This window comes from Homo sapiens, chromosome 14 (assembly GCF_000001405.40).
Source record: "Homo sapiens chromosome 14, GRCh38.p14 Primary Assembly".
Classification (NCBI taxonomy): Eukaryota; Metazoa; Chordata; class Mammalia; order Primates; family Hominidae; genus Homo; species Homo sapiens.
The window spans coordinates 40,487,213-40,515,053 of record NC_000014.9 but is presented as its reverse complement, the minus strand read 5'-3'; positions in this window follow the sequence as shown (position 1 = coordinate 40,515,053).

The following is a 27,841-nucleotide window of genomic DNA, read 5'->3' as shown; positions in this document are numbered from 1 at the left end:
GTCAATTACACATCTTTTCCTTATAAATTACTCAGTCTCAGGTATTTCTTCATAGCAATGTGAAAATGGACAAATACAGGTATTTATTGTAGTGTTTGTGGTATGGGCTTGTTTGTACTCATCCTTCTTTGGAAGGCTTTCCAGGTATTTAAAACAACTTGGGTGTAATGATCTAAGCCAAATCTGCATTAGAGGCCACCCCATGCCTAGTAATTCTGTGGTTCTTGCAGACTCATAGAAGTGCCCATTTGGTGATCTTGAATAAGATCTGGAAGAATTACCTGTATTATGAAACAGAGACTCTTGTTCTCTTCCCTAACTTTCTCCCAAACAAATGTAGTCTCATTTTCTGTGCTGAGCAGCCTGGAGCTGGGGGTACGGTGACACAGATATACTTGTAGCTTAGATCACTGGAACTACACTGGGGTCAGACCTAAAGCCAGCACAGCACAGGGTCTCACCCAAGGCCCATTGTAACCATTACCTGACTACTGCCTATGTTTGCTCAAGGCCCAAGGGCTCTACAACCGGCAGATGTTAAAGCCAGACAGACTTACGTCCTTCCCTTCAGGCTGGCAAATTCCCTAAGTGCCAGGTTGGTCCAGAGATGTCATTGAGGAACCAGGGACCCCAAAACATTAGAAATCTACCTGGTGTTCTATTGTATATCAGCTGATCTGAAATTCAAACCACTCTTTTCTCCCCTTTACGCAGTCAGAGGAGCCTCGCTCTGTGGCTACCACCACAACAGGCCCATGGGGAGTACTGATAGACTATCTCTGATGTTCTGTTAAGGTCCAGGGGCTCTTCATCAGTTTGTGGTGAATGCTGCCAGGCCTATGACTTCATCCTCTGGCCCAGGGCAGCTCTATAATAGCTGTTCAAGAGCCAAGGCCTGGAACTGGGGACCCCAAGAGCCACTTGGTGATCTACCCTGCAGTAAATGAGCTATTACCTAAAGTGCATACAAAGTCTCCTTTACTTTTCCCTCTGCATTTTTCAAGAAGAAGGAGTATCTCATTTTAACCACCACAGCTAAGAATGTGCTGGGTGTCACCTGAAGCCACCATGTCTCAGAGTCTCACTCAAGGCCCACAGCATACTACCTGGGTATTGCTGCTGCTTATTCAAGGCCCAAGGGCTCTTTAGTCAGCACGATGGGTCTTCCCATGTCTCTTTTTTTTTTTTTTTTTTCCTTTAAGGCAGCATGTTTAAATCTGGCCCAGGGTGTGTCTAGAAATGTCATCTGGGAGCTAGAGCAAGGAAAGGGGGCCTTAAGACTCTGAGTGGTTCCCTACCCTACTGTGGCTGAGCTGGTATCCTCTTTTTACTCTTTGCTCTTCCCCTTTCTCTCCTCAAGCAGAAGAAAGGGGCCTCTCTTGGAGCCATGAGCTATACTGCCTGGTTTTAGAGGATAGTGGCATAAGCATTCCTTTAGCTGCCCCAGCTGGTATTTTATGTGCTCCCCCAATCCACTGGCTCTTAGCCAAGCACAACACTAGTACTCACCTAGGAGTTGCAGTCTTTGTGGCCTAGGCTGCCTTTCAAGTTTATTTAGAGTCCCAGAGCACTTTATCCTTCTGTGGAAAGGCTTGGTAGAACTCAAATTCTGACCACTGCGATGGGCAATACCCTTCTGACTAGGGGTTGTCTAAATTGTCCCTCTGTGTGAAGTTATCAATTGAGTTTAGTTTGGTTTTGCTTTCTGCTGTGACAGGGCAGCACTGAGTTCAGTGCAGTCTCACAATCATTCCACTCTTCCCCTTTCAAGTACACAGATTCTCTCTTTATGCCATGCAGCTGCTGCTAGGGAAAGGGGTAGGGGTGGCATCAGTAATTCAAGACTGTCTTTTCTACCCTCTTCGGTTCTTTCAGTGATATAAAGTTAAAAGCAGGTACTATGAGTACTCACTTGATTTTTGGTTCTCATAATGGTGATTTTTTTTGTGTAGGTAGTTGTTAAATTTGATGTTCCTCTGGGGGGACGTTCAGTGGAGCCTTCTATTCAGCCATCTTGCTCCACCTTGCTGCTACATATTTTTTACATGCTCTCTTTAACCTATGAACTCTTCGTTTTTGGCACACAAGACTCCCCAGGATTATCTTGCACATTTTCTATTCCAGATGGGATTAGCTATTTATTCAAAAAACCTTACTTCTTTCTAGATAAATGGTAAAAAATTGTTGTGAGAATTAAATAGAAAAATAATTTAAAATTATCATACAACTTAATTATTCAATGGAAAACTTGAATGTGGTAGTCTCTTCTAAAGCTACTCCTTATTTTACTACATGGAAAAAAATGAATTATATATACTTCTTACTTCTCTGTTATTTGGTTAAATCCTGTGCATCTCTTTTTCCATATCTGCTAACAAAGTTGAATTCTACAGACCTGAATTTTGTTTCTAAAAGTTAACTACTAAAAGTCTAGCAAAGACCTTAAATCTGTAGCTTTTTATAATTGCCAATAGGGTGTAAAAGGAGCTAGATGAGCTCAATATTCCCTCTTATTTGAATATATATATATATATAGAAAGAGAGAGAGATAGAGAGAGGGAGAGAGCAGTATCCCAGTGTATTATTAACTAAGTCAGGTAATCTGATTTGATAAAGTGTGAAATTGAGAACTTTCATAAGAATATCAATTTTTTGTTGCAATAAGGGGAAATTGAATATTTCTGTTTCATATTAATATAAAAGTCTTTGAAAGCATAATTGAAACAAGGAGGTTTCATGAGACTACTAAGATTTTGAAATTCTTTTATTATCTTGATCAAAAAATGTATTAAGTAAACCTGTAATACTCAGTTGTGCCTAACCTGATAACACATTATTGTAGTAATAATATTGTAGTTGATATTTCTGTATCCCTAATTTGTGGAAATACTTGTAAAATCATCTATTAATGCATGAGACGATGGCATTTCCCTGTTATCTATGCTCATGGTAGAAAAATAAAAGCTTATGACTCTGCTAGAGTTATTATTTAACAAAATAATTAGGGCTTGCATTTTTGTTTAAATTTCACTTATTAGAATTACCTTTCTAAAACCTAGAGTCAGTATGCTTCTGCCCAATGCTCTTCTTATATTTGCTGAAGACTTGCTAACCTCTGTATAAACATCTTAGAAAGGCATTCCAAGCTCTTCTACAATCTGGTACCCATATATATTTTAGTTTATTTATTCCCACTGAAATTCTAGCTACCCAGCATCTTCCTCTTTCCCAAACTATGCATGTTAACATGCCAGAATTTTGCTGTATTTTAAACAATCATTTTGAAATGCCTTTGAGACACTACATCTATCATCTACCTTGCTCATATTTCCCCCCAAAAAAGAAACAGTCCAAGGAAAAATAGTTGAATGCTTCAATGCTACTCCTCAACTGTTACTCTAAACTTGTATTTATTGTTATGTATTTGGCTTCCTTTTCCACACACATGATCTTGTTCTGATTCCTTAGAAATAAAGTCATAAGCTTTCTTCATCTCTCTTATTTATGCCAGAAGTTCAGACTCAAAAACCATAAGATGTTCAAACTCAAAAAATGTATTCAAAATCTGATTGGAATGCAAAAAAATTCCGTTAAAAATTATTCAAAAAAATGCCAAATAAAATCCTTGAAATATTTAAAATTGAAGTCAACTGTATTTTTTATAAGTTCATTATTTCTTCAACAACCTACCAAAGATCTTAGGCAACCTTGAGAAAAGAAATATCCAGGGAAGCGGTTATTTTCCTCCTGTTTTGTTGCTATGTAGTGTATTTTATTTTATGTGGTAGGGCAAAAGTCACTTACGTTTGTGTTTTCTTTTATTATAATTCTTTTTAATCTCCAGAGGGCCTTAGACATCTCTCAAACTTTTCATTCAGTGCATGTTTTTAATAACAATCAGAAACTGTGACCCTTATCTGCCTGCTTTTTTTTCTTGTTTCTTTGTTTAAAAAATCTTCTTTGTTCTTCGAGTAAATTAAAACATCATCTCTTTCAAAATCTTACCCAATCCAATAAAACCTTTAGCCTACCTATTACTCCCTTCTGAGTACATCTGTATCCATTAAAATTAGTTTTTACTGCATATATCAAAACAAAACAAAAGGTAATCTTGAAATATATTTCATACTCATAAAAAAACAACACTGAGAGGCAGATTTTTCCTGGACTTAATGGCTCAATGGTCGTCAAGATGACATACTCCTCCATTTTAACATTTTGAATGACAGTTTAACATGGCTCCTTTTGCTGATTTTTTATTCTGTTTTGCATATTTTAATTGAATTAAGAGGGCTTAAAGAAATGTACAAAAAAGGAAAGAAGATGTTTACTGAGAAACAACATGAGCAGAGGTTGTGGTCTGAGAGGAAAACTTAAAGCTTGTTTAAATAGTAAAGAGAGGACTCCAGTGCTTGTAAAGTTCCAGAAGATGGGATAAGAGATAGAGAGAGAATCAGAGAATAAACTAGATTAGGAAAAGAGAATGAACAGATTGGCATGCCACATAAAAGGGTTTGGACTGGGACTTACATAATTATCCTGTTATGATTAAATACATTTTATTTAAAATATTTTTTACCAAAAATATGATGAAAAAATTAAAGCACTAAAAGATGTGCAGATTTACAGATTAAGAATTTAGTTGTGATAAGAGGTGATAGAGGCTTACATTAGGGCAGAGGCAGTGGAATTAAATAAGCTTAAATGAGAACTTGCATTTAAAGGCTTACTGCAGAAGTCATCTTGACTTCCCAACAAGCTATTGATGTTACTGCCACAGGAGAGTGTTATGCTGCTTCTTTAATGAGAAGACTACATATTTATATTTTTATTTATGAAAGGATAAATTGTCTTTGGCTGTTTTAGTTGTATTTTCAGTAGTCTTAGCAGTTACTGTGAAATAAAAGTTTCAAAGGCTAAAAATGCATGAAGATACAGGCTAAACAATTATAATAATGAGCTCCAACTTGACCTCTATCAAATAAAAAACATGTAACCACATGAATCAAAAAGGTTGAATTGAAATTGAGCAAATAAAATTGTTCAAAGGCATATAAGACCTTTAGATGTAAATATTTTATTTTTTATAAGTTACTAATTTTTATGCTCTTTTTGTTCATGTTCTCCTTTAAATACTTCCAATGTTTCTGTGGGGCATAAATAAGTGTAAATAGAAAACCGTATTTCATTCTCTTCTAATGTATTAAGCAAAGGAGACCCAGTCAATTCAGAAAGGTAGATAAATTTAATGAACTTAAACACTGTATAATTTGTGACTATACACATCTAAAATTATTGAAAGGGAGAGAATACAGTTATGCATCACTTACAACAGGAATACATTCTGAGAAATGCATCCTTAGGCAACATGCAAACATGAGTGTATTGACACAATCCTAGATAGCATAGTCTACTATACAGTTATACTATAAACCTGTTGCTCCTAAGCTACAAATCTCTACAACATGTTATTGTACTGGGTACTGTAGGCAAATGTAACACAATGGTAAGTATTCATATACCTGAAGAGAAAAGGTACAGCAAAAATATGGTAAAAAAAAAAAGATTTTAAAGAAGTGTACACCTGCATAGTGCACTTACCATAAATGAAATTTGCAGGACTGAAAGTACCTCTAGGTGAGACAATGAGCAAGTGATGAGTGAATATGAAGGTCTGCAACATTAGTGTACTCTACTGTAGACTTTATAACAACTTACACCTAGGCTTCACTAAATTTGTTAATAATATTTTCTTTCTTCAATAATATACTAAGCTAAGCTTATAGTAACTTTTTTACTTAATATTAACTTTTAATTTTTTTAATATGGCTCTTTTGTAATAACACTTAGGTTAAAACATGAACACATTGTTTAGCTGTACAAAAATATCTTCCTTATTTATATTCTTATCTATAAGCTGTTTTCTGTTTTAATTGATTTTGTTCTTTTCAAACATTTTTGTTAGCACATTGACTCTCATTAACCCAGGCTTACACAGGGTCAAGACCATCAATATCACAAACTTCCATCTCTATAGCTTGTCCCACTGGTAAGTCTTCAGGGGCATTAACATCATGGAGCTGTCATCCTTTATGATAACAATGCCTTCTGCTGTAATACCTCCTGAAGTACCTGCCTGACACTGTTTTACAGTTGACTTTTTTCATAAGTAGAAAGAGTACCATCTAAAATGATGACAAAATGTGTAGTAAATACATAAACCAGTAACATAATCTTTTGTTATTATCAACTACTGTATACTATATAATTGTATGTGCTATGCTTTTATATGACTGGCAGTGCAGTATATTTATTTACACCGGGATCACCACAAACACCTGAGGAATGCATTGCACTACCATGTTACGATGGCTATGACATTACTAGGTGATAGGGAATTTTCAGCTCCAGGACCACTGTCGTGTATGCATCCTGTTGTTGACTGAAATGTCAGGTGACATGTGACTGCATATATACTATGTTACAGATATATTTTTTCATGATTTCATAATAATAAGCCTCACAATTTTAATTTGAAAAGGGTTTCACAGCAAAGATTTTCACATACCTGTGTAAATATGGAATTTTTTTACATATGTAAAGCATTACACACAGCTAAACTAGGTATGTATTAAAACTCTAACATGCTCTGAATAAATTTCTTATGCCAATCAACATCATAATAATGAATTACCAAATCAGGTCAGCACCATTACAGTCTCAAATTTAGTAAAGACATTTATTAATTAAATATCAATATTTTGCTTGAGGTTAAACTCAAATATTCAGGTCTCACTTAATTACACTTGAAACATATATACACATGATAAATGTTTTATATATATCATATATAAATACAGATATTCATATCTATTGTGTGTATATATACACACACTATATATATAATATATATACACACACTATATACAGTATACTTTCAGACTAAAGTATATATATATACTTATATATAATTTTTAATATAAATTGAGTGAGAATAGCTAATAATGTAAGAGAGCTACACTTTCCAACTATATAAAAGAAAATTAAAATTTATCTAAAATGTATTAATCAAAAACAGCAGTATAAGAAAAGTATTATGATATGTTTAGGTAAATTTTTAAAAAGCTGAAAATGGTAACAATAGTTTGCCTTTGTATAAGAGGAACAATAGGTAATGGTTAGATGGGACAGGTGATTGCTATCTTTCATTGAAGTTATTTAACACTAGTATATCTTCAACTGTATACATTTATTACTTTGATACAATTTAAATTAATGTTATGTAAGGGGTTTTATAAGAAATGCAGGTTTAAATAAGAGTTTCTTTTGATCCAATAATTTCACATATATTGAGAACTAAATAACATAACAAACATTGAAACATTTTAGGAAGTAAACAAAAATAACTGAACCTGTATAAGAATTTTGAGAAGACAATTAAACATTATATAATAAAATATTAGATAAATCAGAAAATTAGAACAGATAAGTATTAAAGAAAGAAAAGAAACAATGGAGAGAAGAGGAAGAATAAAAATTGCATTAAAATTGAGGAGAGATATAAATTGTCACTAACATGAAATAAACACAGAAATATGATATAGAAGACATGTCTTACCATTGTGAATATGACAGAAAGATATTGGGGACAAGAGTTAAATATATTGTATAAATATAATAGGCCAGGCACGGTGACTCACGCCTGTAATCCCAGCACTTTGGGAGGCCGCAGGGACGGATCACGAGATCAAGAGATCGAGACCATTCTGGCTAACATGGTGAAAGCCCATCTCTAGTAAAATAAAATTAGCTACTAAAAATACAAAAAGTAGCTGGGTGTGGTACCGTGCATGCCCGTAGTCCCAGCTACTCCGGAGGCTGACGCATAAGAATGGCTTGAACTCGGGATGCCAAGGTTGCAGCGAGCCGAGATCACGCCACTGCACTCCAGCCTGGAGACAGAGTGAGACTCCGTCTTATAAAATAAAATAAGATAATAAAATAAAATAAAATAAATAAAAACATTGTATAAATATAATACTTTGTCAATATCTACTAAGAACTTCATAAATAGCACATCTTGAACAATGTACAGCTTTTCACAATTTTATAACTAGTAACATCTTGTAGTAAACACAAAACTTACTATTTTTAAAAACCTTGATTTAACAAGAAAATGAAGTAAAAAGAAAAACATAGTAAATATGTGACTAGATTCAAAACCCCTGCGAGAAATGACTCTTTTTTTCTTAGAACTCTGCATCAGTTTCTGAACAACCAAACTAAAATAGAAACTTCAGTCTCCTTGCAGAATGCTGACTAGATTAATTAAAGTAGGTAGAAGTGACTGCTGTAGTTGAATTATAATCTTTTTTAAGAGCAGTTATTGTGTTATTCTTTGTATTTTATTAACCCTTTTATGAGTTCTACTGCTAAGTCAATTCTAATCTCTGCATCAACTGGAAAAATTCCACTTTCCACTACCAGATCAATTATAGTCACACAGTCAATAGCTGGTACTTCAGTCTTTTTGACAAAAAGAACGTAAAAAAGAAAAGAAAAGAAACTCTCCTAAAACACCAAGCAGAAATAATATTACTTCTGTATTCTTTTTTAAAAAGGAAATCCAGTTAAGCACATAATTATCCACATTGGATATGAACTTCCATAATAAAAATTATTTATATGGAAAAATAATATTTTCAATTAATTATTATTAAACCTATTATTAAACCTATTTTAATAATTATTAAACCTATTTTAGTAATTATTAAACCTATTTTAATTGACTCCTAACAGACTATTTGACAGTTTACACTTAAGATTTCTTATATATTTATTACAAGAATCTCTTGTGCTAGTTTATACATCAGACTGAAACAATTTACAACATCTAGATTTCACATTGAGCCTGAGACATGCTGGCTGCTCTTCTATTTCATTATTTTTCCTGTCTCACCAATAATTTTCTTGTTTCAAGGTCATACCACTTTTTCTTTTCCTCTTGTTATAATATAAACTCTAGAATGAATTTCCATTATTCTCAATACTTTCAAAACTTAAGAGTTTTCATTTTTTAATTTTTTAATCCTAAATCACAGTAGCTATTATTTTTATATTTTTAAGTCACTAATAATGCATTTCTCTAAATATCTTTGATCTCCTAAAATATAATGACATTTGTTTACATAATTATAATTCAGAACACCCGAGGGACCAAATTTCCAGCATGTCCAGTTTTTAAATTACCTTTTGTGACACTAAATACTTCTGTATTTCCCTCTTCCTATTTTTCTTGAGAATTTATTATTAAGAATTGTGTTCAGTCTCATAGTGATTTTCAATCCATCACCACTTTCCTAAGTATCTTGATTCATGGATTGTTCAGAAACTAGTGGAGTTTCTCCCTTGAACCACATTATTTTGATTAGTCTCTAAGAGCATATTTTCAGTTTTGGCATGATAAACATGGTACATGCCTGTATAAATGATTAAAAATACATCTCAACATCAGTTGTATCCCCCTTGTGTCCCATGTCAGTTAGAATGTAGTGAAAATATTTAGACAAAACAGAATGCAGAAAACATTTCTGCAGCGTTGAAGAAATTCCTAGACGTTGTTTTATACCACCACCAAATATTGTGTAGCTTCTCTGGATTGCTGAGATTTAGCAGGACATAGAATTAGTGAAATCCTATAAATTATCATGGTTTAGGTTTTCATTAGAATGCTGTAGGGAAATCTCTCATAGTTTAGAGTTGTTGGTGAGATTAGAAAATGTAGCACTAAAAGTCTTCCTCTAATATTTGCTTGGCACAGCTTACCTATCAGTAGGTGTATTGTAGGTGGTCAATGAGGACATGGAGCCTTGAACAGGACCTAATAGGTTTTCTTTTTGCCATTTTGCCAAAAGATATCATATAATCTTTCATTTAGTAAAAATATAAAATTCTAATTATTTTAAGTTTATGAATAAGCTTGCACAAAAGAAATCCTCATGATAGTGTGGTAAGCAGAATAATTGTCCCAAAGATGTTCATGCCATAATCCCTAAAACCTGTACATATATTACTTTACACTACTTTACACAGCAAAGGGGACTTTGTAGATGTGACTAAGATTATGGAACTTGAAATGTGGACATTATGCTGGATTATCCAGGTGAGCCAAATTGATCACACAATTTCATTCACTCACTATTTCACACTCTTCTGTGTATTACATAGACCCTTCAAGGATGGGCTCACTAGGAAATGACAAGGAACAACTCTTAAATTACTTGTGAAATCATGCTGCTTCCATCCTTCGAGGCTTGCTGCTGAGTGTGGCCTAAACTCTTTATTACAGTAAGTTTCTTTCAGAAGTTCTAGTGTCATACCTTCAATCCTGGCCTACAGCTCAGATTCCTCATCCATCTAACCTGTCTGCACACACCTTGAAAACAACTTTGGGTTGAATTAAATTAGGAATTGTTTCACCCATGAAAATCAACAATGTGGCTATTTCAAAGTCCCAAAACTGTTCTTCACAGTTAAGGATTTTTCTGAAACCTCTTTTGCCATAAGGCTGGTTTATGTTGAAAAGATATTATCATTTCCCATCTAACTAAAACACTGTATTAAACAGTGATTATTTGTCTGTGACAGAATATGCAGATTTTATATAGAAACTTGATTCTGCTCTTCTTAATTCTTTAGTGCTCTTCTCTTGTATTTATTATATTTTAGGCTTTCTACAGACAATTTGTTACCTTTCACACCTGCTTTGTGTAAAAGTGAAAACATTGACAATATGTTTTTATTCTGTTTTCTTTAGTTTTATTTTAATTTGAAGATTTGTCAAAGTGTCATCTACCTGAATAATATTGATCCCTCAGAATTGCTGTAGAGGTGGCAATATCACTTTGAATACTGTCTTTGAGTAATGTTTAAACTCAATACAAAACATTTTATTTGTTGGGGCTTTAACTGTTTATAAAGCACTTTGGTATACCTTATGTACTGCAATTTTTGCAAGAAGCCCTCTGAAGCAGACGGAATAGAGTAAGTGGTTTTGCACAAGTTCAGTCATATGAATGGTAGCAGTCAAAAATAGAATCCATAACATTTATAATATATAAAACCTTTGGGTCATTCTCTGTGTTCTTTCTGCTTACATAGAGCCCATCATCAAATCCTGTTATTCTTAAAAAAATCTTTTAATCTATTCTTCCTTTTTGCTTATATTACCAACCCTGTATCTAACATAATTATCAACTTGTAACTAGAGTAGAATGGAGTAATAATCAGCTATTTTATCCCTTTCTGCCCTACCGTCAATTCTGTGAACTACAGCCAAATTAATCTGCCTGTGATACCATAATTATCTTATGACTTCCTTATTCATATGTTTCAAGGGTTCATTGTTGCCTAAAGGATGAATTCTGCATATCTTAACCTAACTTCCACCTACTTAGAAGTCTTAGTAACACTAATTGTTTCATCCTGAAGGATCAGGGAGGTGTACTATAAAAGACTGCCAACCTCAGAATCAGAGAGACTCCAGTAAAATCCCCCTTCTGCCTATTCCTACTATGTGACATTGGCATGCTTCTATCCTCTGTTAACTGAACTGTAAAATGAGGACAATTGTATTTAAGCCATAGTATTATTTCAATTTTGTTAATGTACACAAATATGCTGCATATCATGAGTAAGTGGTTGTAATCATTACTTATTATCAAAGGTTATTTTCTGCTATTACTTAGCACCAAATTGTTTTTATCTTAACACAATTCAAGAATCTTATGAAAATATTTTTTCTTGCCACATATATTACTTTCATTTGCCTACTTGCGTGATGTTATGCCCAATCAAAATCTCAGAACAAGAAGAGGTAAAGAAAGGTGTAACATTAAAAAGAGTAAGGTAAAATAGCTTTGAGAACTCAATAATTTAACAAGCTTTATCTTAATAAATAAATAAACAAAATAATGAAACCAACAGTATATTTTTATGAATTTGAAGTTTATTAGCAACAAAAGTAAATGAGTAAATAAGTAGACTCTCTATGTTGATAGAGATTATTTATAATAGTGCCAACAAATATGCTCAAAGTGGATGCATAGAAGGACAGGAAGAGTAAATGAAGAGATAGCTAGCTCTGCATGTTGTCAAATATGATGAGTTTTGGTTGTAAATTCAATCAACCAAGAAAAATTATTAATCTTTGTATAATAAATTTAAAAGTTATCAGTGAATGACAAATTGACTCTCAGTATATTCAAATATTAGTTTGCTATGTAAACCTATCATTTTATTTAGTTCCTTAGAAAGGTAATGATATATTTCTTCTAGCCTCCATTAAACTTTTATAAGATCAATGATGCCAGATAATGTACATTTTCATTGGTTTACCAATTACTTATTTTTATATTCCATCAGTAAGCATATTTTTGCATTTACTAGCAATAAGTCTAAATATTTCAGTAACTCACGGTGCAGTAAATGCAATTAGTTTAAAATGTATTTTTGCTGCAGATGAGCAAATTAGAAATTAAGCTATTAGTGAATCAATCAAAGAATATTGCAAGGGTAACAGAAATGGATAATAATAATAGCACCATGATAGTGAATGAAGAAAGAGGGTTTGTTAAAGCAAGTGTCTGATGTTTTAACAACTGAAGATGGGGAACACTAGATTACAGGTCTGTTCTCTGATAATGACTCACGTAGTAGATGGCATTTTACAGCAATGGGATAGCATAGCAGTACATTCACAACAAGGAGAAAAAGGGTAGATTTTCATTATGTTAGGAAGTGGTTACATGAGATAATGTGGTGAGCATGGCTCTCTTGACTCTATTAATCCCAGTGTTGAACTAAAATGTTAGTAATTTTGCCATCATACTTATAAAGCTTAAGCACTATTAGAGAACTCCGATTTTCTTTTCTGTGAAATAGAGACAAAGATTTCACAGGGTCATGCTGAATAACATATAAAAAATATGTAAAATAATCAATTCAATGTAAAATTGTTGATTGATTGGCCCAAGACTGCTGCATTCACACCCTTCCCCATCTCAGTAATAACAACGTTATCCTTTTAGTTGTTCATGCCAAAAAACTTAGACTCATCTTTGGCTCCTCTCTTTTGTTCACAAGTCTACATCCAATCTATTATGAAATCCTCATGACTTCACCTTCAAAAATATATACGGAATCTTTTTTAGGTTTTTACCACTGCCATGACCCCAGTCTTTTCATGTATCTATCGGTTGGTTCACTACAATAACCTCCATCTATCTGAATGTGTCTACCTTTGCCCTCCCAATGACTTTCAACTCAGCATGATGTGCTAAATGATGTGCTAAAATATATTCCGTGATACCACTCTGGACAAAACCCCGCAATAGGCAGCCCTTTTCATCAGAACAAATGAAAAATTCCATACAGTGACTAGTGATCATATCTTTCATTACCCCAGCTTTGCTCACTCTTGCTCCAGCCCTCTGGTCTCCTCAGTCTCAAAGACAGGCCAACATGCTGCCAACGTAAGACTGTGATGACTTCAGTACTTTTCTCAACCTGGAACACTCTTTTCTCCAGATATCCATGTGATAAACTTCTTCACATCCTTCAATCCTTTTTTCAAATCTCTACTTTCAATCTTGTTACTCTTCCCTTGTTCCTTCACTCCTGCCTGCCTTCAGCTCCTGAACTCTCTATTCTTTAAACCTGCTATAATGTTTCTTTGATTTTCCATACTAGACATTTCACTGTCTCCTTGCTAGAGTGTAAGCTCCACGAGGGCGGGAGACTTCTTCAGTTTTGTCCACTGAAATACTCCAAGCCCCTGAAACAGTGCCTGTAATATTATAAGTCCTCTCTATGTATTTGAGAAATATTATATGAAGGACTGTTCTGTAAACTTATTGACTATGTTAACAAAATTCGATAATGGTATTTGTGCAAGCACCTCTATATAGGTGACAATTAATACTCTCCCTTCTCTTCTCTATTTATAGCAATTGAATGTCCTATCTATCTCATAAACTATTAGTTTCATTCATTCACAGGAAATGCCCACAGTAAAGAATTAGAGACCCTATGTCTTTTTAGAGAGGCCTAATAATTATTGTTTAGAATTCTAAATCATATTAATGAAAGAATTAAAATAAAATAAAAAGGTATACTATATTCTATGTTATATTAAAATGATTTTGAACCGTAAATTTTTTTTTATTAGTGAGTTAGTAATAGTTCACTGAGATGAAGAACTAGTGCCTTTTCCTAGTTTGAAACAGATTCAATGAGACTTGTACTTGTACTATGAATCCAGAAGACCGTACTTTGGAGTTGTTTACAGATTCTTTCCCTAATAATATTGCTATTATTACCAGGATTTACTGCAACTGTTTTATTTTATATGCTTTTAAATTTCTGAATATATTTATTTTTGTAATAACACAGCTTAAAACATATTATACAGCTATACAAAAACATTTTACCTATATGCAAATTATATATGCTTTTATCTATTTTAAATTAATTTTTTTACCTAAAATTTTTGTGTGAAAAACTGAGAAGCAAATACACAGAAGGTTGACACAGAGTCAGGACCATCCAAATCACAGTGTTCCTTTTGCACATCTTGTCCCACTGGACGGTTTTCAGGGGCAATAACACAGATGGAACTGTTGTCTCCTATGATAACAGTGCCAGAAGCTCATAGTCAGTTCCAGTGGTCTTCTGGAAAGCACCCACAATTTTGTTGTAGGCAGTCAAAATCATCAGCAGTTTCCTGTGATTCTTGCTTTGTGATTTCCTGCACACTGGCAGCAGATTCTCCAACTTACGTCTCATAAGCTTCCTCTATTAAGTTATATTATATTATATTATATTATATATATTATATATATTTCAAATATATAATATAATAAATATATTATATGTAATATATATATTCCAATTATATATTATATTATATTATATATATTCCAATTATATATATTATATATATATTCCAAAGGTAACAGCTAATAACATTACATAAACAATTTTCTGAAAATAATTGTGACATAATTTTGTTTAGTTATTTGATTTTTATTTTCCTTACACAATGTATAAGAATAAGTGGATTTTTAAGGTAATTCAGTAAGGTTGAGTTTGTGATACTGAAAAATTAATTGTTTTACTCTCACCACTTTATGGCCTCTCATATTTCCTAAAGGTAAGCAAAAATATAAAGTTAGTTTTAAAAAACCTATGGATTAAAAATATATTATTTTCTTTATTGGATTCATTATAATTATTTTTACTTACTTAAACTTTACATGTTAATTTTCAGGAAGAAAAATTAAACAAATTAAGAAATCTTGACACACACAAAACAAAAATAATCGATCTTTCCTCTTCACTCTACTTTATCATCCTGAGAAACGGGGTCTTCACATAAATATATTATAAAATGAGGTGATAGTTTAAATATTGGCAAAAAATTATCTTGCTAGAACTACTTATTTATAAATGGTTTACATTTAAACCTAATCCAAACAATTTATTCTCATATGAAAAAAATCACAGCAAATGATTTCTCACTTTAGGCGGTCAGTCCACTACAATAGGTAGTCTCCAGCATATCGTCTTCTGTTTTTAATATCTAAGAAATAATGTCTTAGATTCAAAAATAATTTCAAAGTATTTCAACTACCAACTCTTTATCCCCTCATCTCCATTCTTACAAGGAGTCTTATCTGCCCCAGAAATGAAGAACATTTTTTAAGAATAAAAATATTAATCAAGATAAAATACTTCAGGGGAACATTTTGTCTTGTCAGTGTCAAATCAACTCAACCACCATAGCAGGACCACTTGTTAGTGTTGAATTATTTTTCTTGCTATTATTAATCACTTTGGCATTTTTTAGATGTGTTTGCATACTAACATGCTTAATTTAATTCAAATAACATCTTAGATTCCATAGCTCATATCTGATTGAAAGGCTCTTTTCTCTGGTTGTCAGTATTGATGATGCCATTAACTTTATAATGCAAATACATATTTCAATTTACTTGTATTATTTTCTAATTTTATATCAGAGTTAAGATTAATATTCAAGATAGAATTATGATTTACTTCCACATTTGTATCTGTCTAGTAGTTCTCCCTAAGTTATTGTTTATTTTGAAAATTATAAGTCAAAAATAACAATCAGAAAAACTAGTTGCTTCTGAAACAAACCCAAAGAGAAGTGAAGAAATTTCATCCTATATTATTAAATGTTCTGGCAGAGATTTCAAAAACATTTTTTGTTTGTACAATTACAGTTTATTTTCATATTGCTGGCTCTCAGTTACTATTGTTAAATATAGGAATCTAATATATAAATAAACCAAAGAAGTTTAATCTCTAAATGTCATTCATGTTTTACGTTGAAATCATTATGTGACATAATATGGCATACTCGCCTTCCTAATCTTATTTGTATAGACTAATATGACCAGTTTATTTAGTGCAGCCAGAATGCAGTAGTCCTTCCTTACCTATTGGTGATAAATTCCAAGTGGATGCTTGAAACTTTTAGTACAGAAAGAACTATATATACTATGTTTTCTTTGTATACATACATACTTGTGATAAAGTTTAATTTATAAATTAGGCACAGTAAAGATTAACAATAACTAATAATTAAATAGACCATTTATAAAAATATGCCAGCATCACTACTCTTATGCTTTGGGGCCATTATTAAGTAAAATAAGGGTTATTTGAATACAAGCTCAACAATACCAGGTCAGTCAATCTGATAACCAAGAGGGGTATTTAGTTACTAACAGGCAAGTAGTGTATACAGCACGTGGATATGTGAAGCAAAGGCATGATTCACGTTCCAGGCAGAATGGAGCAGAGTGGCACAAGATTTCATTACACTACTCAGAGTGGTGCAATTTGAAACATGAAGTGTTTATTTCTAGAATTTTTTATTTAATATTTTCAGACAGCCGTGTACCTTGGATAACTGAAATTGTGGAAAGGAACTTGAAACCACAGATAAAGGGGGACAAACTAATTTGAGTCTCTTTAATATCAATTGTTTCAAAGGTAAGAAAAGACTTAGTTTAGGTTGCACTTTTATAAAATTACGTATTTCCAAATATGCCATCCTCCCCAAAATTAAGAGTGTAATTTTGCTGCTTTCTGGGGAATACATACAGATTTAGGGGACCAATACAACATCACAGGATATGGCATAAAGGTAAGGTGAACAGGGAAATGTTTTCTCCCCTTGTATAGATTATTCAAATATTTTGTGTAATTATACATACATATCTGTTCTCATGTTTGAATGCAGAGACTGGGGTTGATATATGGATTAGACTACAAATACAGGAAAATAGAAATATGTTTCATATGGTTTAATACTTAAATTTACTTCATTTCCACATCAACTATCTTCATTACCACATCGACATGTTATCATTTTAAAAAGATTTATTGGCACTTTTTAAAAGACAGGTGACCACTTGACATAATGAAACACAAGCACTTTGTGAATTAGGGCTCTTGACAGTGACTGATTGGTATGCCCTTATCACAAGACTACGCATGTGCTTTGCCTAGACATCAAAACTAATTAGAGTAGTCTATTTTCTCATGGAGACAATAGGACTTTAAGAATTACTTATTTTCTTATTTTACTTTTTTGAGGGGAGTAGGAGATTTAGGGAGGAAAATCTTACTATGCATTTGTAATACATTTTTTTCTCATTCATTCACTCATTAGAACAGATTACTAGGGGAATATCACTTAACTCTTAGGTGGAATGTTAGATGAGACAATACCACTAGCCAATTTCTAAAAGCAAAACAAACTTTTTACAACAGTAATAATGGTAATAATAATTACTAGCATACCTGAATGCCTACTGGAAATCTTATTCTACTAAGCAATTGCCTGCATTATCTCTTTTTACTGTCTCAGAAATTCTGCCAGCTAAATGCTATAATTTCCAGTTTACAGATAAACTAATAGATCAATGGAGAAAAAGTAGAGGTACTATTTGTAAAATGTCCAACTTCAGAAGCTAAAACTTTGCAATAAAGTAGTTTCTTGAGAGCTTATTTATTATGACAGTGATATCTTTTTTAAGATATAATTTTAAATATAATTATTATAATTTATAACTTTTTTAAATTATTGTTTTAATTATTGTTTTATTATTGTTTATTATTGTTTATTTTTATTTTTTGTTATCCCTAAAAGAGTAGAAGTCAGGTACTACCAAGGGAAAAAAAGATATATTTGATCAGTTGTAAGACCATTCTAACAAATGTATACCAAAGGAAAATTTTAAAAGGCAGGCTTTGTGAAGAAAAAGATTTCTAAATTACAAAGGTCCTACTTGACCAAGGCAGTTTTAATGTTGTTCTCAGCTTGAATAAACTTTAGATAAGTTTCTTCCTGACTATAGGACCCTGATGTCTCTTTTCTTAGAGTATTTACTTTATAAAACTTACAATAGGACATTCTTCTTCTGACCTTTAAGATGTAAATCTTCTACAACACAGGAATATCTTTCTCAAAGACATGGAAGTCATCACTTTGAAATCTAATAATCAAGAAAGAGGGATCCTCTGTTTCCCAGCCTCTGTGGAAAGTCAGGAATATAACTTTTACAAGTGACAATCAGCAAACAGAGACGGCCTAAATGGCCTAATCATATTGACCAACCTCCTCAAAACATGCTTCAGGAATTTTTCATTAGTTCATCCCAGCATTGAAGTTTTGTTTCAGCAAAGTTGAATTCAATCTTTCTCCCCTATTGCAATAGTCTTGAAGAAAGTTTTCCTTGCTGTTCTTAACAAATGTCCCAGTACATTTTTTTTTCTTACATACCAGTTACATTTTTTTTTCTTACATACCAACAGTCAGGTCATGAAGGCTATAATTTAATTATTATTTTTTCTTCCATGTAGGAAGATGCTACTTCCAAAACTGAGCTGTAGACATTTTATCTCCAGTAAGAAATAAGATATGATGGAGAAAAGTGCACTCCAGAAGGTATGCACCTGTATAGTGAGTGCTCTGCTTCAGCCCTACGGAAGGTTGAGAAAGAGCAAGTGGGAGCCAGAGGGGGGTCTGCCATGGCTTCACTCCCCCAGGCCCAGATCTCAGTGGAGTGGTGAGAAATACTCCGGAGAAAAATCTCAGTTCTAAGAGGCTTTTGAATCATGTATCGATCAGGGTTCTCCAGAGAAATAGAACAAATAGTTTATAAAAATAGATATCTGGAGGGACAGAGAGAGATTTATTATGGGAATATACACAAACACACACACACATATAAGTGTATGTATATATATATATACACACACACATACACACACATATATACTCATGTATACATATACATGTATGCATATATACATGTGTATATACATATCTACACACACATGTGTATATATATGCACCTGTATGTGTGTATGTATATTCATCTACATGTGTGTATATATGTGTGTGTGTGTGTGTATATATATATATATTCCTCTCTCTTTATCACATGAATTGGCTCACATGATTATGGAGGCTGAGAAGTTTCACCATTTGCCTTCTGCAAGCTAGAGAACCAGGAAAGCCAGTGTTGTAAGATCGAAGTCCAAAAGCCTGAGAACAATTGGGGCCAATGTTGTGAGTCCAGAGTCTGAAGATCCATGAACCAGGAGCTCCAATGTTCATGGAAGCAGAAGATAAATGTCCCAGCTCAAGAAAAGAGAGAGAGAGAATTTGCCCTGTCCCTGCCTTTTTGTCCTATTCATACCCTCGGTGGATTGGATAATGTCTGCCTACCTTGGTGACAGTAGAATTTATTAGTCAGCCTACTGATTCAGTGCTAATCTCTTCAAGAAACACCCTCACAGACACATGCAGAAACAAAGTTTTATCAACCATCTATCCATCCTTAGCTCAGTTAAGGTTATATATCAAATTAGCAATCACAAACCATTTCCAGCTTCAGTCTCTGACTCACTAAGGAGCTATGTGCCACTTGAGAAGTCACATCAGGAGACTGGTGTCATGGTGTGGTCTGGCCAAAGGTGTACATCCCTTCAAGATCATCCTTGGCCCCTAAGCAGCATGAAAGGTCTACAGAATTCAATAAGTACTTTGTAGAGGGAGACAAAACAAAGCTAGTTAATTCCAGCTGGTGGATTTTAAAGCTCACCATGGTGTGTGTAAAGGGCTCGGGTGTTTCAAAATTTCAGCCAGAAAGGAATTAACACCATCATAAATCAGATGAAACTAGGCCATTTGGAAAGCCTGCTAGATTCTGCACAAGCCTTAAGAAGGCAGCACTCAAATGCACCAGCAATCAAATGCGCCACCTGTAGACATCTTTAGCTGATGCTTTCAGCAAGGCATGCTGAAACCCAAAAGACAGGCGACCTGCACAGAGGCTCAAGAAGAGACAGAGAACTTCAATCCTGTGAGCCTGAAGACTCAAGGCCAGTGAGGGAAAGAGAAAGGCAATCTCTGAGACTTCAGTTTTACTTAAAACAATCTGTTTTAAATGGAAATGGGACTGAGATGGCATTCATAGGAAGTTAACTGTTTTGGAATATAAGCTCATGAAGATGATTATTAGATCAGTTATAAAAAATAAAATGAAGTCAACGTTTTATTTGCATACAGTGAATATATTTGCCATCCATTCTGTATTCCTTGAACTCTGCCCCAAACTAGCTATATTAATATAGGTAATTTCCCCAAACTCTTTATTAAGCACTCAATTTTATTACAGTGATACCGTTAAGCACATACAGTGCTAGTAAGCACTTATAATGTCATAATCACAAAACATGCTCAATAAAAAAAAATCCCCATCATTTTTTGTGCACTAGGTATGGTGTGAGAGATTCTATGTAGAAACCACAAAATGAAAACCTTTGTTCTCATATAGTTTACAGCAGGGATGAACAAACTGAATCCCCCAAGTCGAATATAGTCCACCACCTATTTCATAAATGAAGTTTTATTGGAGCACAGCTGCACCCATCTGTTTACCTATTGTCTATGGCTAAAAGAACTGTGTTCATAGAGATGTTACTGGCAAAGGCAACTTGGCACAGTTGAAGGACTGAAAGATTAGCAGAGGATCAGTGCAGAGAAGTCTAGACAAGGCTGGCGAGGTAAAATGAAAACCAGATTACCCAAGGCCTTATCAACTTTGTAAGAGTTTGAGGCTTTATTCTAAAAGCATTAGGTATCCACCAAAGGTATATAAGTTTAGAGTGTAGGAATGAAGAACGGAGAAGGGCTCGACTGTGACATAATATAATTTGCATGTTAAAGAAAATAAAAATGGGCCAAAGACTTTAACAAATACCTCGCCAAAGAAAATATGCATATGGCAAATGAGCATATGAAGACACTTTACATTACATGTCATTGGGGAAATGCAAATTAAAGCAATGAGATATCACTGCTGACTTATTAAAATGGCCAAAATTCAGAACACCAAATGCTGATGAGGATATGGAGCAATAGGAATCCTCATTCATTGCTGGGGGAAGTCAAAATGGTACATTCACTTTGCAAGACAGTTTGGCAGTCACTTACAAAACTAAACATATTCTTATCATATGATCCAGCAATCATGCTCAATATTTATCCAAAGGAGTTGAAAATTTATGTCCACACATAAATCTGCACACAGATATTTATAGCACCTTTATTCATAATTAGAAAAACTCAAAAGCAACCAAGATATCCTTCAGTGGGTGAATGGGTAAATAAACTTGGTACATCCAGAGAATGGAATATTAGTCAGTGTTAAAAATAAATGAGTTCTACCAAGCCATGAAGTGACATGGAGGAAATGTAAATGAAATCTTACTAAGTAAAATAAGGGAATCTTAAGGCTACATAGTGTAAGATAACAACTATACGAAATTCCTAAAAAGGCAAAGCTATGAAGACAGTAAAAAGATCAGTGGTTGCCAGGTACTAGGAGGCAGGAAGAGAAGGATGAATAGTCACAGCAGAGAAGAATATTAGAGCAATGAAACTACTCTGTATGATACTACAATGGTGAATGTGGGTCTTTATAAATTTGTCCAAATTGTAGAATGTATGACACTAATATTAACTCACATGTAAACTATGGACTTTGGGTGAGAATGTGCGTCAAGATAGTTTCATCAGTTGTAGCTGATGTACCATTCTGGTGGAGGGTGTTAATAATGGGGGAGATTATAAATATATAGGGGCAGAAGTGTATGAGAAATCTCTGTACCTTCTCAATTTTGCTGTGAACCTAAAATTGCCCTAAGAATAGAAGGCCTTTAAAAATTTAATTTGGAAATAAAATTATAATCCATTTTTTGAAAAATAAAAATTGAATTAAAATAACAGATGGTAAAAGGAAATGGGGCCCAGAGTGGTTAAATGAAATAGCAGACTGTTAGATTAATCAGATGAGAGAAGACAGTACATTGAAATACAAAAGAATTACAAATATATAGTAGATATTTAGGAGTTAGCATTGTCAGAAATAGATGATGGGATTGTAAAAGAGATTACAAAAAACAAGGTAAAAAATTATTTCCAATAGGGTTCTTTTGTTTTTTTTGTTTGTTTGTTTTTGAGATGGAGTCTCACTCTGTCACCCAGGCTGGAGTGCAGTGGTGGGATCTGGGCTCACTGCAACCTCCACCTCTCGGGTTCAAGCAATTCTCTTGCCTCAGCCTCCCGAATAGCTGGGATTACAGGCGCATGCCACCATACCCTGCTAATTTTATGTATTTTTAGTAGAGACAAGGTTTCACTGTGTTAGCCAGGATGGTCTCAATCTCCTGACCTTGTGATCTGCCTGCCTCAGCCTCCCAAAGTGCTGGGATTACAGGCGTGAGCCACTGCCCCCAGCCCCAGTAGAGCTTCTAAATCTAGAACATATTTATTTAGTGTTCCCCGCCTCGCTGCATGTTTTATATAAATGTGGGCGAATTATTAGTGTTAGTCAATATTCTCAAAACATTACAAATAAATAAAGAAAAAACAATTTCTAGAAAGGTAGCCAAATACCTGACATAGAGACAAATCCAGGTTAAAATTCGATTTTCTTAAATTTTTAAATGTATAGGTACAATTTTAAAAGGTAGAATTATGGTCCCAACTTATCCCATGAACATTTTAAACAAAATTTTACAATAAATCTGAAAGTGACTTTACAAAATATTACTATCATCATCATGACAATTGTCCCTTTTTCCACAGATATGTGTATTGATTTCTTCAATATTCAGAAGAATGGGTTACTATAAAAAGTAGAGTGAAATAGATTATGAAAACATTTTATTTTTGATGAATGATGTGATCATTTGAACTAGAGAGAAAAGAGTAGGGACATAGCATAGCAATGTACATTATTGTGCAAATTATAAAATAATGAAAAGTTAAATGTGATTATATACTTTAAACATGAAGGTCGTCACTTCTGTGTGCTTTCTTCCACTGTTCAATCATAATTACTCTTTTATGATTTCCAAAAAAGGATCCAAGTATAAATGATTGTGATTATTATTTTAAAACTTTATAATTTATAGTAGAGGATGAGTAAATATCTTCAATAGTCATTTAGTGATTAGTGATTCTTTTGATGGTTTCACAAATGACTCACGTATGCAAACCAATAGAGTGGCTTGTCCTTGCCAGAGTTCTCTGAGAAAACTGTGTTTATAACTATACATAACACAGTGAATTTTAAAAGTTAATAAAATCAATACCTAAAACATTTATGCAACGTACTTTCACTAATATCCATCCCTACTTCCTACTTCCCAAGACTAGACTTTATCCTGCAAAATCTTCCGAGACGTTTCACATGTAAAATCAGTTTCAATAGCTCTAACACATATTCATAATTCTCCATCCCTACATACTTTATCCCTATTCATGAAGATGCATGGCTCCCAGTAATTAGGCCTTAAAATCACTGATTCTCTTAGATGCTTCTCTACTCTTTAATATTTTATCAATCCCTAAGTTCTCTTAAATTTTTACATCATTTCTCCATTTTTTCTTTTTCTCCCTGAAGGTAGCATGTTAAATGAAACAGGTCTAGGTTCAAATTACTGAGTGAACACCTAGTATATAAATTAGCCACAAAGTACAAAAATTAAACCTGGTTACTTCTTTCAGGGAATTCCTGGTCTGGATTTGAAGATGTAGGGTTTGTAATTTGAGAGATCATTATGCCAGGAAATTTATGAGTAGTTAGGTCTTTTCAAAATGGTTTTGTTTCTTGTAGGAAAAACACAAAACCGTTTTCACCTAGAAGAATTGGGAAAAATAGAGAGTGGGGGAAGAAGAAGAAAATAGATACTATTTGTGTGCCGTGCTTAGGAGAACATAGAACAATAAACAATGGGAGGAAACAGACGCTAGAGGTGAGGGAGAGGACAGGGACACAAAAAAGTAAACAGAATGTAAAGACTCAGAATTGCCCACTGGAAATTGAACGCTTCCTGGAGTAAATTAAAAAAACAAAAAACAAAAAACTGGAGACAATAGTTATTTCAACAAGAAAATTAAGCAGACAATTATAGAAGATTCCAATTAAATATAAGATAAAAAACAAGAGAATGCAAGATATCCAGTTATATCTCTTTAATGAACTCTTCTCAGTTCTCTGTGTAAAGACGGAATATAGGTTGAATGAAAATTAGGAAGACTAAGATACTTGAGATTTCAGAAGGATAGTAATTATGAGATATGAATAATATCTAATTCAAAATATGAGTCAATGTTTGTTTTAATCTTAACCAAATAATATATGCATTAAAATATGTTTCTTATTTTTAGTGAGATTGCCATTTAATATTGATATCTAACATTGATTTGATTTATGTCCACGGCTACCCATTGATTGATGAAAAGAAAGATGGGTAGACAGTCATGGGTACAGATTAGATCTCTCTAAGGTTTGGAAGCTATCTAAGAAGTTACAAGGCTAATGAAGTTTGGGCAAATTAATATCTTATCCACATAGTTCAATGAATTATTACATAAACTGAAAATTCCATGATCACTATCCTATCTTCTTCCCCAAGAGTCCAACTCTATTGGAATAAATCCTCTCTTCAGTCTTGGGGTGGTAAATGACTCCAATGAAGAACTAGATCCCAGGAATATTTTAAGGTTGGTGGGGTTTATATAGGCTTTTTTTTTTCTCTAAATTTTGGTGTGTTTTCTTTCACAATAACTAGCATGAGCTTAACATGTACTTCATGCCAGATTCACAGGTGTTATTTTAATTTGTACATTCATACAACCTCATTTACCTAGTTATCAATAAACCAGTCAGTATATTCATTCAGTATTATTATATTTGTTAATAATCAGCTGGCAGCCAAAATATTAAACAGCAGTTGCTTTTTATTTTCTTAGACTATATAGCAAAGGTTTATTTAAGACCACTTCCCCTTTACTTCTTAAACACCTGAAGTTAAGCCTCTCTTTTTGCTTAGGTAGTTAATTAACGTCATGAGCATTCATTTTAATTAATGAGAGTAAGAATCTTCAGTTGAATTTTCTGCCTAATTTTATTTGAATCTCAATTGTAATTTGAGTGAGCTCGTGGTCACAAATCAGGTTCAGTGGCTTTAGTGTTCAACCCAGATAACTTACCAACAAGTCATTTTCCCACTGAAGCTGTCACTGGCATTTTCTTCCCATTATTTATCACATCGTGGCATCCAGTCAAAAAAATAAGTAAAAATTCATCAGCTTTGCTCTTCTCTTATTTTAAGTCAACTTCAGTAACATAGGAAGTGAATTTAATAAATGCAACTCTTCTCTGTCAAGAACACACACCTAGATATGTCCATGGCTGTTGGAAATCTACTCATCGAGGCTTTACCAAACCACCCTGTTGAAAACTGCACCCAGGAGAAGGACGTGTCTTCTCCTGTTCCCATATATATTTGTCTACATTGCACTCACTGATATCTACCATGCTATTTATATACTGATAATATATAAATGTAACAAATACACAGTTAAATATAATGGATATATAAATAAAATATATAGATGTACAATTTGTTTATCCATATATTCATATACAGATATACATATTGTCTGCCATCTTCCATTATAAGTTCCATATTAAAGGAGATCCTTTATTTTTCTATTGTATTTTCAGCTCCTAGAGTAGTAACTAGCAAAATGTGGGTACTTAATACATATTTCATATGTTCTCATCCACAAGATCTGCCGACAATACAAAAGCTAAAATGGAAGAACTCTTATCACTTCTCTAAATTTAGAGCAGAACACTTCTCAGAGGGCAGGTACAATTATCAATCAGGTTTAAAACCTAAATTCTTAAGAATGGCCTTAAGGCCATTTTCCCTTACCCTTAAATATACTATGCAGACTATTTTAAACCCCTAAAAGTAAGGACATATTAATATATCTAATATTATTAAGAATACATTGGCATCAATGCCAAGTCATTCATCTATTCAGCTATACATGGAGTAGCTCAGGTTAAGAGTATGTAACCTTCCTCACCTAACTCTAAGCCAAGCTATTACGCATGCCTTTGCAGACTTTTAAGGGGAACCACGGGTCCCATTAACCATTATCAGGATAGCTCAGGAAGTAGAGACAGGTATTTTAATGAGCTCCTTTATCTTACTTTTATCTTAGCAGGTAAAAAAAGATAAGCATTAGCTATTGAGTCCCACTGTTCTTTAATGATAACATTGGTTGAGTGTGAAGCCACATTTTAAAAGGGCTGACACACCTAATAATATGTAGGTGCTATATAAGAGCCTTATGTGGTTACCTGCTTTTCTTTCAGGCAGTTCACCCACCAAAGAGTCAATCTTTTAACTTCTCTTCTAGACACATTGTATAAGCAGCTGTACAATTAAGATTTGAAATTTAAATCCAGCTTTTCAAAATATAGTCAATAATATTTCACAATTGAGCTCTTTTAGCAGTTTGTTGCATAATCAGCATGAAACCTAACAAAATTGCACACCAAAGAAAGTCAAAGACATCTGCCTAACTGCTTTATTGAGTGCTTGAGCAATTCCGTAGAAGCTTTTCCTGTATCACCTGTGGTGGAACAGATGTGGCTGCTGTGTGAAGCATATATTAGGGTTGTAGAATAACTGCTAGAAAGAAACTCCAAATGCAGAAATATATATTTTAGTTCATGAAAAGAGCCTCAAGGAATCCAAATCACTTTCTCCTATTACATAGTTATAGGCTGAAAAGAACATACCATGCAAGACAGATCTAGCTGAATAAGGATTTTATGTTGAAGAACTTGAATAAATTATAGTTTAATTTTTTTATTTTTAATAATATTAAAATGCTTCATTTAAGGTATAAAATGGAAAGTCACCGTGACAGAATATTTTGTGTTGAGGGGATATTTAATTTTTGTTTTAGTTTTGATTTAAATGAATCCTTGCCAAAAGGAATTTTGAGGGAATTCTGCAAAGTGTATTTTGTAATATAATAAGTCATTAGAGTTCACATTAATCTTTAGTGCCTCTTCCGTTAAAGGATGAGATAAAGGGAAAAGTAAATGTTATTTTTAAAAGTCTAAAATAATAGGCCGGACGTGGTGGCTCATGCCTGTAATCCCAGCACTTTGGGAGGCCAAGATGGGTGGATCACCTGAGGTCAGGAGCTCGACACCAGCCTGGCCAAACCCCGTCTTGACTAAAAATACAAAAATTAGCCGGGCGTGGTGGTGCGTGCCTGTAATCCCAGCTACTCGGGAGGCTGAGGCAGGAGAACGGCTGGAATCTGGGAGGCGGATGTTGCAGTGAGTCCAGATCG